At 54.1% G+C, this 14,834-nt stretch overlaps 1 protein-coding gene across 9 annotated transcripts, besides 5 other annotated features; it reads right to left on the bottom strand.

Annotated features, from left to right (window-relative positions):
- Positions 1–306: 306 nt before the first annotated feature.
- Positions 307–14,438, bottom strand: THEMIS2 (thymocyte selection associated family member 2). Of its 9 annotated transcripts, none has more exons than NM_001286113.2 (7): positions 14,317–14,438; positions 10,254–10,394; positions 6,928–7,338; positions 4,857–5,011; positions 3,939–4,469; positions 1,531–1,687; positions 307–1,115 (listed from the first exon to the last, which is right to left on the bottom strand). In NM_001286113.2, exons 1-7 carry the CDS (start codon positions 14,408–14,410, stop codon positions 1,060–1,062), a joined length of 1,545 nt encoding a protein of 514 aa, NP_001273042.1. In that variant the 5' UTR covers positions 14,411–14,438; the 3' UTR covers positions 307–1,059. The 9 variants fall into 9 exon arrangements, with proteins under 9 accessions (NP_001273042.1, XP_006711113.1, NP_001099026.1 ...); XM_006711050.2 differs by having other exon boundaries at positions 4,905–5,011; NM_001105556.3 differs by having other exon boundaries at positions 3,939–5,011.
- Positions 2,088–2,137: an enhancer, noted in NCBI's record as "active region_578". NCBI's record gives its function as "activates an Ori minimal core promoter by ATAC-STARR-seq in GM12878 lymphoblastoid cells {active_cell/tissue: GM12878}" and the evidence as "EXISTENCE:reporter gene assay evidence [ECO:0000049][PMID:35858748]".
- Positions 3,338–3,387: an enhancer, noted in NCBI's record as "active region_577". NCBI's record gives its function as "activates an Ori minimal core promoter by ATAC-STARR-seq in GM12878 lymphoblastoid cells {active_cell/tissue: GM12878}" and the evidence as "EXISTENCE:reporter gene assay evidence [ECO:0000049][PMID:35858748]".
- Positions 4,448–4,557: an enhancer, noted in NCBI's record as "active region_576". NCBI's record gives its function as "activates an Ori minimal core promoter by ATAC-STARR-seq in GM12878 lymphoblastoid cells {active_cell/tissue: GM12878}" and the evidence as "EXISTENCE:reporter gene assay evidence [ECO:0000049][PMID:35858748]".
- Positions 6,844–7,344: an enhancer, noted in NCBI's record as "H3K4me1 hESC enhancer chr1:28206149-28206649 (GRCh37/hg19 assembly coordinates)". NCBI's record gives its function as "activates a minimal SCP1, AML or CMV promoter by ChIP-STARR-seq in primed H9 embryonic stem cells {active_cell/tissue: H9 hESC(primed)}" and the evidence as "EXISTENCE:reporter gene assay evidence [ECO:0000049][PMID:30033119]".
- Positions 14,321–14,590: a silencer, noted in NCBI's record as "silent region_531". NCBI's record gives its function as "represses an Ori minimal core promoter by ATAC-STARR-seq in GM12878 lymphoblastoid cells {active_cell/tissue: GM12878}" and the evidence as "EXISTENCE:reporter gene assay evidence [ECO:0000049][PMID:35858748]".

Genomic DNA, 14,834 nt, shown 5'->3' with positions numbered 1-14,834 from the left:
TTAAAACAGTCAGTCTTCTGGGGTAGTAACTATAGTTTCATCTGACATGTCAAAAAACTGAAACTTAGGTTAAAATAACTTGCTCATAGCCCTGGCTGGTAGGTAGCAAGCTGGGATCCTAACCCAGTCTCATACTTTCCAGGTCCTCACCCTTAACTGCAACTTGTCAGCGTCCTAAGGTACTTGACCATGCAGCCTGTTCCCTAATCTTTAAAATCAGGCATTCTGGAAAGTTGAGGATTTGGATATGGTTTGTAAGTGCCTGGCACGCAGTCAGAATTTAATAAATGATACCGTTCTCATTCATAGAGAAGCTCAGGTGTCATTTTTATTCTATGGTTTTAAAATGAAATAATCTTGGTTAGTCACTTACAACTTTGACGACTTTAACCACCTGATGAAACCTACCAGTTTCTGCAGCCTCAGGTCTCCATAAGGGTCTTCTTAAATTGGCTCCTCCTCATTTCACCACCAGCTTTTGGGGCCCAAGGTCCTAAGGTTGTGTTCTTGAAGCCAAGTTCCCACATTAATCCATGTTAACCACATGTGGTTAAACCCCTGTTTACCATATACAGATCTATCAGGCTTGGTGCTACAGAGATGAGGAAGACAGTCCAGGCCTCCCGGGGGCTTAGAGCTTGGGGGTGAGAGTGGGGGTGGCAGACGTTAACAAAATCTCCCATGCAGTGTGATCAGCATTGGCACTGCGCTGCTGTCACCAAGGTTGATGGCCTCGGATTCCCCTCTGCATCCACCGGTGGGACAGCTGGGGTTGCAGGATTGAGAGGAACCCTGCCAGCTGCTCTGCATCCCAAGGCTCTGAGGCTGAGGGAGTCACGTGCGAGATGTTAGGTCCAAACCAGCCCGCCCTAAGTAGCAAGAATCTAGAACCTGAAGGAAGCTGGTGCAGTGTCCATCAAATCAGTTTCCACAAAGCTACTCCCCGTCTGCAGCTCAGTTTCTGTGAGACTTGCCCGAGGTCTTTTAGAGGCTTAAAATGGTTGGCTGGTGTCGGATTCCCTGAGAAGCAGCAGTTAGGAAGCGTGGTTCCTCCAGCACTTAGATGGTTTTCTGAAATTGCTCAAGTATTTCTTCATAATCATGTTCATCATCATCTGCAAAAGAGTCCGAGTCAATGAGGATCTTTAGCGTTAGGCAAGTTCCTTCCCTTCTGTAGGGCAGTTTCCTCATCTGTGCAGGGAAAGAGGTGGCCTGGATGCCCTACGGTCTTTGCTAGCCTAGAAACCACGATTTGTTCTGTCTCAACACTTTGCAACCCTTTCATTTTCCTGTATGCTGCAGGGAGGGTAGTATGTTGGGGACTGAACTCATTTTCCTTGCCAAAGCCCTAGAGCCCATGGGAAAGACAGTAGGAACCTTTCTACCTGAGCCCACCCCATAGAGGCCTGTCCATCAAACTGGGACCATAGAAGGGTCTGTCCCTGGACAGGGCCACCAGAGGCAAAGGAAGCAGCAAGGTAGGGAGGGGAGACACAAGGACAAGGGTGAGCAGCGCCCACAGGGACTCACCTAGATCCTGCCTTTGGGGCTTAGCGGGCCTGTGGCCCTTCCTGTGGGCAGGAATCTTGCTGTACGTACTGGAGCCATCCTTGATGAACTCTGGCAAGGTCTTCGCCTTGGGTTTGGGCAGCCGAGCGTGTTGCTGCAATCCTAAGACTTGAGAAGACTTTGGGAGAAAAAGCAGAAATCATCAGGGTCTCAAGAAATGGGGAAGCAGAGTCCATGAAAAACGGTCATTCACGTTAAGTGTCACTTCCTCTGCTTCTCTCTCTACTTCCTTTTCAGGCTATGACCTCTCAAGACCCCTGGTGTTTTTGCTACATGCATGTGAAATATTCTCTGGCAAGGGAGAAAGGGATCAGGGTAGAAAATGAGGATAGGGTTGGGGGTTGGAGACAGGGTGTTCCTGGGATTTTCCACTTAGGAATTTGGTCAATGTCCTTTAATTCTCTTGCTGAAGGGGAAAAAAGCAAAGTGGGGATACCGTAAGAAAGGAGCCACAAAGCCTTGTGACGACGCCTGAGCTGAGGTGGCCCAGAAGAAAGAGGACTTCCATTGCGTTCCCCCATGTGCCAGATGCTACATGACGTCTGCTCTTTAATCCTCAAGTTACCCTCTGAGTGGTTTCAATTCCCAGTTTATGTAGGAGAGAAAGTGTGCCTTGTCAAAGGTCACACGGGGATCCACAGCAGGGCCAAGGTTTGGACCCAGAGCCACGCCTGTGACCTGTAGAGGCAGAGGTCTTGGCGCCCCACCACGCTTTACAGAGTGTGCGGCACAGCTCCCTGATCAGCACCAAGATTCCAACGCACAGAGGGGAAAAGTTGTGGTTCCAGGGCGACAGCAGTGACCGGGCCCAGAGTCCCTCCACTGGGAGCCAAGACACGGGCTAAGGTCTGTCGGTTCTGGAAAGTACCCTTTTCAGCACTGGCACAAGGCCTGTGTTTCGGATGTTTCAGTCCAGCCATTGTCAGAAAATGACTTCCCACGCTCACGCCACAGATAAAAGCCCCTGCTGGGGCTGAGACCACTCAGGAGTCATCTTGTAATTTCCACTGCCACCTGCTGCCTACCACACGTGATTAAATACGAGTCACCCAAGATCCCAAAACAAGAGCTGGGGATAGTAAAGGACTTTTGATCTGTCTCATCCCCTCCCGTTCTCAGCAGACCACGGTAGTTAGAAGCTCAGGCTGTGTGGTCAGACCCAATTGCAAGCTCTGGCCCTGCCACTTGTTGGCTGTGTGATCTCAGGTAAACTATTTGACCTCTCTGTGCCTCTCACCTTCTCAACTGTGAAGCAGGACACCGGTGTGTAACTCAGAAGCACTGTGAGAATTGGTTGGGACAAAGCATATCAGGGGCCTGCCACAGAGTAAGCAGGTCACAGAAAGCAGCTGCAGAGGATATCACAGGTCTACTGGTGAGAAAAAGGACGCTCGGAGGAGTACCCAGCACAGGCAGAGTAAGTGAACCGGAACGTAAACTTAGTCTTTCTGACCCCATGCCTGGCTCTCTCCCGCTCATCTGTGATTCTGTTTGGCCCCGTTTAGCAGGTCCTCTCTGGCCTTGGAGCAGGTAAGGTCCCTGCCCCGACAGAACTCTTTTCAGCCAGAGACTCAGGTAGGACTCACTAAAAACAACCTGTCCTGAGCTACGTAGAGCGTGCAGTGGGAGCACAGAAGAGGAGGCAGGACCACCGCTGCTGAGTGAGAAATCCGAGTCCCACCTTGCCTGTGAGCCTGAAGGAGGAAGAACACTGCTGGCAGAAGGCCTGGGTGTGGGGCTCTGGAGCAGGAGTCCCGGCGCCATGAGGGAGCTGCGGGCATTTCTCTCGCTGGAGCGTGGACAGCAGAGTGAGTGGAGGAAGATGGGTCGGGGAGGTGCGACAAGTCAGCTTATAAAGGACCCTGGATGCCATGTTAAGGGGTTTGCATCATCCCATGATGATGGGCAGCCACAGAAGGTTCCAGAAGATGGAGCTGAGGTCCATCAATGACTAAGAAAGGAGTTAGGAGGCCTTTCTGACAGCTTTTGTAAGAGCCTGCTGAAGTAGTTTAGGAGAAAAATGATGAGGCTCGAACTAGGGAGTGAAGGCAGCAGTAGTGGAGAGAGGAAAGCACCATGAACTTGGAGTTAGACTGTCCATGGCCAAGTTCAGTCCTCCCACTTATTAACAGGGACCCTGGGCAAGTCTTAGGGTCTCCAAGTCCTTGTTTTCTCAATCATAAGATACTGATAATCATGCCAACCTCAGGATTAATTGTGAGGTGGAATGAGAATAATGGGTGCAAAGTGTGCAAGTTTATAAACTACAAGTTTACACAGTTGCAAGAGAAACATGACAGGCAGACATGACAAAGAAGCAGTGATCCCAATAGGTGACCCCTCCGTGCCCTCTGGGATTATACTAGTACCTTGACGCCTCCCTCACTGCTGTGTCTCCTCTGCTTGCTGAGGCCCTGATTTTTAGGGGGCCTGGGTGGGGGGGCTTGGATCTCACAGGCTGGTAACTTCCGAAGACGATAATAGAAGGTGTCTGTCAGCTCCTCCACTGTGGCTATGGGGAGAGACCCCTCTGGCAAGTCTGGCTGCCCCTTGGCCTTCACAACAGTCAGGTCCAGCCACCGGGGAGGGATCTCAAAGCACATCCCAGGCTCAGAGTCTAGGCTCACCACCAAGAATGGCTCTGTGATCTTCTCCTCCAGCCGCAGGCCCAGGAAGGAGGTCAGAGGGTCAGTGGGGTGGCTGGTGTCCTTGGCCACCACCTTGACCTCACAAGGCAGTGAAAACTGGGCAGTCAGATCTGCCAGGCTGTAGCGCCGGCTGTCACTCATCTCCTCCACGAAACTGCCAGGGAAGTGGAAGGGCAGCAGGACCCGCTCTGGGCTCTCTGCCTCCTCTTTGCACTCTTCCTCCTCATCCTCCCCAGCCTGGTCACTCAGCCGCTGACAAACCAAGACATCCACGTCACTGCCCTGGGCCCCATGGGCCTGGCCAGGCCCCAGCACCTCCAGCCGGTCACCCACAGCCAGGGACGTGAACTCGGGATTCTCCTCCCTCTCGCCCTCACAGTCCTTTGTGGCCACCACCCGGAGTGGCCGGCCTGGCTGGAAAGCACCTAGGAGGTCATAGGCCGTGGGGAACTCCCTTGGCCGCCGCCGCAGCTTGCCTTGGTAGCCCCCTGACACCAGGAAGTGCCTGGGCACCTTGCGGCCCTTGCTTGAGGCCAGGACCCGCCAGGGTGGTGAGGCTAGGCCATAGACGCAAAGCCTCTGGCCTTTTTGCAAGGAGCCCACCCACGGGCTGAGGAAGATGGGGCGGCCCTCAGGAACCTCCAGGATCTCCATGGACAGGGGGAAAGGGCCTTCCCAGGCCAGGACCTCGCTCAGCAGCAGCGGTTTGATAAAGTGGACGTGCCGGGAGGAGGCGGTGACGTCCTCCACGTCGACCTCCAGGGTAGAAGGGATCTTGACAATGGTCCTGCGCACTGTGGAGAGGGGCAGCTCAGTGGCACTGCATGCCACCCCAGGAGTGGCCCCCACCCCAGGCATAGAGCATTGGCTGGGCCGGCTGGCCTCCCTCCCGCTGCTGTCTTTTCTTTCTTTTTTTTTTTTTGAGATGGAGTTTCACTCGAGATGGAGTGCCCTTGTCGCACAGGCTGGAATGCAATGGCACAGTCTCGGCTCACTGCAACCTCCACCTCCCAGATTCAAGCAGTTCTTCCACCTCAGCCTCCCGAGTAGCTGGGATTACAGGCGCCCGCCACCATGCCCAGCTAATTTTTGTAGTTTTAGTAGAGATGGGGTTTCACCATGTTGGCCAGGCTGGTCTCGAACTCCTGTCCTCAGGTGATCCTCCCACCTTGGCCTCCCAAAGTGCTGGGATTACAGGCATGAGCCACCACGCCCGGCCCCCGCTGCCATCTTTTCTTTCCAATCAGAATCTTCCAATTTACACTACGCCACATTCCCACACATGCTTTCCCTTCAACCTTCTTTTTTTTTTTGAGATGGAGTCTCGCTCTTGTCGCTCAGGCTGGAGTGCAGTGGTGCGATCTTGGCTCACTGCAAGCTCTAGCCCCTGGGTTCACGCCATTCTCCTGCCTCAGCCTCCCAAGTAGCTGGGACTACAGGTGCCCGCCACCACACCCGGCTAATTTTTTTGTATTTTTAGTAGAGACGGGGTTTCACCATGTTAGCCAGGATGGTCTTGATCTCCTGACCTCGTGATCCACCTGCCTCGGCCTCCCAAAGTTCTAGGATTACAGGCGTGAGCCACTGTGCTTGGCCCCAACCTTCTTAAAAAAATTACTATTTTTATTTTTTTTCCTCCAAGTATTAAGAAAAAAGAAAAATAAATTTTAAAATTATTATTTTTAGGCTGTGCTCGGTGGCTCACGCCTGTAATCCCAGCACTCTGGGAGGCCGAGGTGGGCAGATCACCTGAGGTCAGGAGTTCCAGACCAGCCTGGCCGATATGGCGAAACCCTGTCTCTACTAAATATACAAAAAAATTATCTGGGCATGGTGGCGGGCGCCTATAATCCCAACTACTAGGGAGGCTGAGGCAAGAGAATCGCTTGAACCTGGGAGATGGAGGTTGCAGTGAGCTGAGATCAACCATTGTACTCCAGCCTGGGTGACAGAGCAAGACTCTGCTTCAAAAAAGAGAGAGATGAGGTCTCGCCCTGTTGCCCAGGCTGGAGTGCAAGGGTGTGATCATAGCTCACTACAACCTTGAACTCCTGGGCTCAAGTGATCCTCCTGCCTCAGCCTCCAGAGTAGCTGCTACTACAAGCACTAAGCCTAGCTAATTTTTTAAAAAAATTTTTGTAGAGATGGGGGTCTTGCTATGTTGCCTAGTCTGGTCTGGAACACCTGAGATCAAGCGATCCTCCAAAGTGCTGGTATTACATGCGTGAGCCACTGCACCTGGCGTAGCCGAGATAATTTGAGCATCAATAAGAATAACTGGCCAGGAACGGTGGCTCACGCCTGTAATCCCAGCACTTTGGGAGGCCAAGGCGGGTGGACCACCTGAGGTCAGGAGTTCAAGACCTGCCTCGCTAACATGGTGACACTCCGTTTCTACTAAAAATACAAAAAATTAGCCGGGCATGGTGGTGCACGCCTGTAATCCCAGCTACTCGGGAGGCTGAGGCAGGAGAATCGCTTGACTCTGGAGGGTGAGCCAAGATCACACCATTGCACTCCAGCTTGGGCAACAAGAGCGAAACTCCATCTCAAAAAAAAAGAATAACTTCAGTGTAATACAGAGGGAGCAACCTGAAGTTCCAGCTGATCCTCAGGGATGGGGTGGGGGTGTCTTCCATCAGAGCAGCTCCCAGGGGCAACCCTCTTTCTCTCCCCCAGCAGCGCGCATCCATCTGCCCAGGCAACTCACTGTGCATGATGGCTTGGATCTCATACTGGGGCCGCAGGATCAGGGAATGCCAGGGCAGGGTGGGGCAGGTGAGGACGAGGTCTTTCAGGGCTGGATCCTGTAGGACCTGGAGCAGAGTTCGAGGGGCACTAGGCTCCCATGTCCAGAAGGGCCCCTTCTGGGATAGGGGCAGGTGCAGGATGACCTGCTGACCCTCCATGCCCAGGACACAGCGGGCAGAGCGGATCCCGAGGTGCATCACCACAGCCTCAAGCATGAGGAGCTGGTCCTCAGTCACCACCCTGCCCTCTGTGACAATCCTGTGGGTCGACATGAAGCAAGTGGGCAGCTGCTTGGAGCTCTGAGTTGTGGCAGAGACCAGCTCCTCCAGGGTTTCATAGCTCTGTGGGGTGTTGAGGGGGGTGAAGTAGCCTGTGGGGGACAGCAGAGAGCAGGCAGGTCACTGTGGGGTGTCAGGGTGGGGCAGGCCTTTGTCAGGTCCAGACCCCAGTCTGGCCCTGCAGATGACCCAGCCAGAATCCCCCAGGGACAGGTGTCAATGACAGATTTGCATCTGGACATCTGGGCTGCAGGGCTGAGGGACACAGGGCAGAAAGTGGCAGTGCATGAAGGGACAGGGAGAGACAGGAAGTAGGAACCGAGAGAGACTTGTCACCAGAGACACAGAGAATGGAAGAGGGACACATTCCCTGACAGACACACTAGACTTCCACACTCTCCAAGCTCCTGACCCTACCTGCCTCTAACTGCCATCTTAGCCTTTCCTCCAGATGCCTCTCCACAGGTCCGATCCCACTCATCCAAAACCTGCCGTCCCTCTCTCCCAAACGAACATCCCAGGAGCTGCTGGCCAGAGCCACCTCAGACCACCCACTTTACCCCTGCATCCTGGCTGCCAATAGTGACTGCCCGACTGTCCCTGCACCCCCTCCCTCCAGCCCCCACCCATTCCGCCAGCAGCTGGCCTAAATACCTCGCTTCCAGACATGATACCGCTTTTGGGAAGCAAGCTTTTCCTGCCCCAAACCCACAACCTGAAGCTAATCGAGGAAACACTGCACAAGCTGGGACTGAGGGATATTCTACATAAGTACTGGTCCAGATGCTTCAAAATGTCAATGTCAAGACAAAGGCAGAGGAACTGTTCCAGTCTGAAGGAGAATGAAGAAACAGGACAACTGAATATGATGTGTGATCTAGGACTGGACTCTGGATTGAGGGGAAAAACTGCTATAAAGCATATTATGAGGATAGTTGCTGGAATTCAAATACAGCCCATGGATTAGGCAGTAGTACTGTACCAAAATTAAGTTTCCTGAATTTGATCATTGAACCATGTGAATGAATGTCCTTGTTTTGGGGAGATACTATAATATTTAGGGGTAATATATAGATGTAAAAGGGAACATGTCTGCAATTTACTCTCAAATGGTTCAGAAAAAACACATCCATATATACACATATAGTAATACATTCGTGTGTGTGTATGTATGGAGAGGGAGAGAAACACATGTAACAAATGTTTAACACTTGACGGGGGAAAGAAAAAAGGAAACCTGAGGCCGTTTTTGGCTGGGCACACTGGCTCACGCCTGTAATGCCAACACTTTGGGAGGCCGAGGCAGGAGGATCACATGAACCCAAGAGTTTGAGTGAGACCAGGCTGGAGAACATAGCAAGACCCTGTCTCTACTAAAAATGAAACAAAAAACCCTCACTGGCTCCTCATTGCCTTCGAAATAAAGAACAAACAGTGTCAGCACACCACATAGCCCCCAGGTGGTGTGGCTCCTGCGGCTCCCCACACAACTTGCCCCTAACCTGGAAGCCACACTTTCCCGCATCTGGCAGGCAGTCACATAACAGCCAGTCCTCAGAGTGTGCCTGCTTTGTACCAGGTGCCCCCTCCCCACTTTTTTTTTTTTTTTTTTTGAGAGACAGAGTCTCTCTCTATTGCACAGGCTGCAACCTCCACCTCCCAGGTTCAAGTGATTCTCATGCCTCAGCCTCCTGAATAGCTGGGATTACAGGTGCCCCCCACCACCCCTAGCTAATTTTTGTATTTTTAGCAGAGATGGGGTTTCACCATGTTGGCCGGGCTGGTCTTGAACTCCTGACCTCAGGTGATCCACCCGCCTCAGCCTCCCAAAGAGCTGGGATCACAGGCATGAGCCACCAGCCACTGCACCCAGCCTGTCCCAGGCCCCCTTCTAAGTGCTGTATACATATCAGCTCATTTCATCCTCATATCAAGCCTAATCGCCCTCATTACAGAAGAGGAAACTGAGGCCCAGGGAGGTCCCAGAGAGGCCCAGAGAGGAACCTGCCTAGCTTGCCCAAGGCCACTGGGATTCAATTCCAGGCCACTGGCTTCAGGGTCCAGGCCATGGCCCACCACACTACATGCCTCTTAAAATAATTGAGCTCTGGCCGGGCATGGTGGCTCATGCCTGTAATCCCAGCACTTTGGGAGGCCAAGGCGGGCAGATCACGAGGTCAGGAGATCGAGATCATCCTGGTTAACACGGTGAAACTTTGTCTCTACTAAAAATACAAAAAAAATTAGCTGGGTGTGGTGGCGGGCGCCTGTAGTCCCAGCTACTCGGGAGGCTGAGGCAGTAGAATGGTGGGAACCCGGGAGGCAGAGCTTGCAGTGAGTCCAGATCACGCCACTGCACTCCAGCTTGGGTGACAGAGCGAGACTCCATCTCCAAAAAGTAAAAATAAAAAAAAATAATAAGAATTGAGCTCCTTGGGGTTTCCTGAGCACCAAATGTGCACATGCTACTCCCTGTGGCTGGGATCTTTCTTCTGGTTCAGATGCCACCTCCTCCAAGAAGCCCTCACAGATCCTGAGGCAGGTTACTGTTGCTCAGACCCCTCTCTAAAGCTTATGACTCCTTTTACTGTTGGCCTCCTCTCACTGTCATCCCAGAAGCTCCCCACTGGAGAGGGTGGCACCTGATTCATCCTGACCCCCATACCCACAGCCCGCCACACGGAGCCTGGCACACATGGGTGTCTGCAGATGTTTGGGGAGTGAATGTGTGAGTGAACTCAGAGACAGGCACCTGGACAGGGCTTGGAACAGAGGCAGGTGTGACCAGAGACTGAGAGGGAGAGGGTGCAACCTCTCTGAGTCCAGGGCATTGCCGACCCTCTGAGGACATCCCCACCCTTGAGGCTGGGTTGTGGTGAATGTGAGGGCCTCGGGAGCAAACCCCGAGGGGAGGGAGTGACTGCTGGACGTGGCAAGCCCACGAGCAGCCTGCGGGTGTGCCAGGAGAGTGCCAGGGCACATGGGGAGGCAGAGGTGCCCACCTTACCCTGGAAGTTGGGGGCGAGCTCCATGGTCTGGCTGGTCTTCGGGTTCTCACAGACCACCTTCTGGAGGCGGACCTGGGTGACCTTGATCAGGTCCCCCGTGGAGAGGCAGCACTCATTCCCAGAGATCTCATAGATGGAGCCTGCGGAGACAAGGACTCCATTTCCCCATTGGACAAGGGCCAAGTGCTGGGCAGCCTGTGCCCTGGTGCCCAACAAGCTCTGCTCTGCCATGCCTTTGCACATGGTGCCTGCTGCCTGGCATGCCCTGCTCTGTCGTTCCTGCCTCATGCCCACAGGTTCAGTCGTCCTCAGCTGTCCTTGCCCCTCCTGGCATCGGTGCACCCCGCTGTGGCACACTTCTCTGGCCTTTTTCACATCCCCGTGCCTCCTCCACTGAGTTCACAGGCAGGGCTGATCCATCTCAACATCACTGCAGCCAGCACAGGGCTTGGCCTCTGAGTATGTGGTAAGTCCACAAATCAGTAAATAACCCAGTGAATCCCCCTCTCTGAGCCTGATTTTGTAGCTGTACACTAAGGGAGTTGGGATTCCCTTAGTGTACAGCTACAAAATCAGGCTCAGAGAGGGGTCAGTGGCTCCCTGGAGATCACCCGGAGCCAGGGCCGGTACCCAGCCCTCCTAGCACCCTGGAAAATAGAGGGGCACTGACAGAGTGAGGCCCAATGGGCAAAGTTCTGCTTTCCTGGTTTAAAGTGTGTAAGTGAGGGTTGGGCGCGGTGGCTCACGCCTGTAATCCCAGCACTTTGGGGGGCCAAGGTGGGTGGATCACGAGATCAGGAGATCGAGACCATCCTGGCTAACACAGGGAAACCCCGACTCTACTAAAAATACAAAAAAAATTAGCCAGGCATGGTGGCGGGCACCTGTAGTTCCAGCTACTCGGGAGGCTGAGGCAGGAGAATGGCGTGAACCCGGGAGGCGGAGCTTGCAGTGAGCCGAGATCACGCCACTTCACTCCAGCCTGGGTGACAGAGTGAGACTCCGTCTCAAAAAAAAAATAATAAATAAAAATAAATTAATTAATTAAAGTGTGTAAGTGGTGTCGAGAACACAGAAGTTGCTCAATAAAGATCTCTCACGCACACACGAGTGCACAGTCTCTCCATCCAGCTAATGGAGGACAACAGACTACGTGGCAGGACCTTGAGGCCACCTGAACCCAGCCCCACCCACAGGGCAGCTCCAACATCAGCCCTGAGAAACTGATGAAAACCTCCCCACGTACTGCCAGGAAAATGCCCACCAGTCATAAACCACAGTCTGTTTACAATGTCAGAGCATGGGCCTTCCAGACTGGTGAGAACAGCAGCTGTGGTACTACAGATACCCGGCACTGTGCCAAGGGCTACTGATGCGTCATTGTGTTTAAGACCCATGACTGCTCTTGCGGAGACAGGCAGTTTCAATTTCCTAAATAATGAAACAGCTGGCCAGGAATGGTGGCTCATGCCTGTAATCCCAGCACTTTGGGAGGCCAAGACAGGGGGATCACCTGAGATCAGGAGTTCGAGATCAGCCTGGCCAACATGGTGAAACCCCGTCTCTACTAAAAATACAAAAATTAGCCCAGTGTGGAGGTTGGCACCTGTAATCCCAGCTACTCAGGAGGCTGAGGCAGGAGAATTGCTTGAACCCAGGAGGTGGAGGTTGCAGTGAGCTGAAATCAGGCTACTGCACTCCAGCCTGGGTGACAGAGGGAGACTCCATCTCAAAAAAAAAAAAGAAGAAGAAGAAAAAGAAACAGCCTCTCAGGGGCTGAGTAGGTTGTACATGATGATCAGGTAATAGGAGGCAGAACTGGAAGTTATGGCTGGGTGCGGTGGCTCACGCTTGTAATCCCAACACTTTGGGAGGCTAAAGTGGGAGGACTGCTTGAGGACAGGAATTCAAGACCAGCCTGGGCAACACAGACCTCGTCCTTTTTTTCGAGACAGAGTCTCACTGTCGCCCAGACTGGAGTGCAGTGGTGCAATCATAGCTCACTGCAACCTCAACCTCCCAGGCTCAAGCAATCCTCCCACCTCAGCCTCCTGAGTTGCTGAGACTACAGGCATGCACCATCACACCTGACTAATTTTTTTATTTTGTGTAGAGACACGGTCTCAGTATGTTACCCAGGTTGGTCTTGAACCCCTGAGTTCAAGTGATCCTCCTGCCTCAGCCTCCCAAAGTGCTGGGATTACAAGCATGAGCCACCACACCCTGCAATTTTTTATTTTAAAATTTTTTGTAGACATGATGTCTCACCATGTTGCCAGGGCTGATCTCGAACTCCTAGGCTCAAGCAATCTTCCCACCTCAGCCTCCCAAAGTGTTGAGATTATAAGCATGAGCTATCACACACAACCTATGTTCTATTAAACAAAAAACAGGGCCTGGTGTGGTGGCTCATGCCTGTAATCCTAACACTTTGGGAGGCCGAGGCAGGCAGATCACTTGAGTCCAGGGGTTTGAGACCGGCCTGGGCAAAATGACAAAACCCCATCTTTACAAAAAATACAAAAATTAGCTGGACGTTGTCCTGGTGCGTGCCTGTGGTCCCAGCCTCTCAGGAAGCTGAGGTGGGAGGATCACTTGAGCCCAGGAGGTCGAGGCCGCAGTGAGCTGTATCGTGCCACTGCACTCCAGCCTGGGCAACAGAGCCAGACTCTGTCTCAAAAAAAAAAAAAAAAACCTAGGTTGAACCCAGGGTGTTTGCCTCCAGAGCCAGTGCTCCTAACCAACCACGCAGCCAGCCCCTTCTGAGTGCCCTGTAGACGCCTGCCCCTATTGGCATGGCCATCTGTCCTCCGCACTCACCCCATCCGCACACCCACACCCTGTCAGGGCCTTCTCTAGTCACCATCACTCTGACTTCCACCATTTCCACCATCCCGCGTCAGGCAGGATGAGGAAACAGGTGTTGTAACACCAGCAGGCAAAGGGTGCTGGGAGGACGAAGACGCTTGGTCCTGGGCTGGGGGAAGAGCAAACAGATCCCAGGCGCCTTCCTGCAGAAAGCCCCTGGAGGTAGAGTCAGAATTTGAACCCAGATCTGCCAGATTCCCAAGCAGACCTGGAGAGACCCACTGCGAGGTGGTGGCCCCCTGCGGGACCCTTCATGAGGGACCTCCTTGGTCTAGGACCCCACTTGGGACCTCAAACACTCTGCTGGAAGCTGCTGCGACAGAGCGTTTTTCTGCAGCCAGGGAACAGGATGGGGCAGGGCCTTCAAGCCTCAGTTCGCTCTCTAAGGAAGGAACCCGCACCCCCACACAGCATCTCTCTCCTCCACCTCCATCTCCCCTACTCGGTGGCCCACGGGTCCTCCCTGCCCACAGAGCAGCACTGGCCACCCATCCACTGTGCTGTCTTACCCTGCCCTCCACTGTCTGTTATTCCCTCACCGCTTGCTCCTTCAGGCAATGACTAGTGACTGTGCGCCTGCTGTGTGCCCATCCCTGTGAACCAGGCCGCTGCGGGCAGACGGCAGATGTACGGGGGCGTGCAAGGAGCAGAGAGCCAGGAAGGCTTCCGGGAGGAAGCGCCATTTAAGCTGAGAACTGAAGAGCTGATCAAATCAAGTACTGCCCATGGTCAAACAGAAGGCCAAGGTGGACGCAGGGACTGAAGGAAGGCAGTGTAGAGGAGGGCCGGGGGAGGAGTGGGAGGACACAGACGGGAAGACTGACCCTGCACTTCAGAATCAAGACGCAGCCACGACCACCAGCGGCCTAATGCTGCGTCCCGGCGCGGTCGGAGCTCTGTCCCATGCGCACCGCGGGGCCACCTAGGAGTGGCCCGGCTGCATCCACCTCCCGCGCCTCAACCCACTGACTTTTCATCACTACCCTGCGGGGCAGGTCAGCGGTCCCCGTTCCACGAAAGCAAAAGCCGAGGTCCAAAGAGGTTGAGTGCGGCCCCAAATCACACAGCTTGGCCAGTGGCAGTGTCGGGATTTGAACCCAGGGGCAGTTTCCCCGGATTGCTAACGTCTTCTCCGGGTCTCTGCCCCCGCCCCACACCAAGGGAGTGCTCGGAGGGGTTCCAGCCCCCGCTCACCCTCGAAGTAGACCCCCGAGCAGACCCGCAGCACGCGCGGGAGGGAGGCGGGGTCCAAGGCGCGCACGAAGTCCTGCAGCGGCACCGGCTCCATGGTCCCCGCGGCTCTCTGGGCTCAGACTGAGGGGCGGGCGGGCGGTCCCCGGGAGCCCTGCAGCCCCGCCCCGCCGATGCCCCGCCCCGCACGCCGAAGCCGCCCCGCCAGCCCGCGGGAGCCCTGCAGCCCCGCCCCGCCGAAGCCCCGCCCCCCGCCCCCTGCAGTACCCTATGGGGAAGGGGCGATGATGAAGATGAAGAAGTCCCAGACGCCCCCTCAGCAGTGCTCCCAGTTAGAAAAAGGGGACGCGGCCCGACTTGTTCTGCGTCTCATAGGAGGGACATGCCTCTGCCCTTTGGGTTTGAGGAGGGAGATGTAGTGTCAGGGCTCCCGAATGTCCCTCCAGGACACTCCATGGTCCTCTATCGGAAACCTCCTGGTGAAGGGGATCTCATTACCTCTCCAGAACTCCCATACTCTT

Source organism: Homo sapiens, chromosome 1 (genome assembly GCF_000001405.40).
Source record: "Homo sapiens chromosome 1, GRCh38.p14 Primary Assembly".
Classification (NCBI taxonomy): Eukaryota; Metazoa; Chordata; class Mammalia; order Primates; family Hominidae; genus Homo; species Homo sapiens.
The sequence above is the reverse complement of the archived record's forward strand: the minus strand, read 5'-3'. Positions and strand labels throughout refer to the sequence as shown.

What these genes read in the sequence shown, in the direction of transcription:
- THEMIS2 (NM_001105556.3), bottom strand. Translation starts at nt 14,410, where the DNA reads ATGGAGCCGGTGCCGCTGCAGGACTTCGTGCGCGCCTTGGACCCCGCC. An exon ending in GATCCAAGCCATCATGCACA is followed by an intron (nt 5,012 to 6,927) that starts GTGAGTTGCCTG and finishes CCCTCTCCACAG; the next exon opens with TGCGCAGGACCATTGTCAAG. An exon ending in GCCCCAAAGGCAGGATCTAG is followed by an intron (nt 1,116 to 1,530) that starts GTGAGTCCCTGT and finishes ACTCTTTTGCAG; the next exon opens with ATGATGATGAACATGATTAT.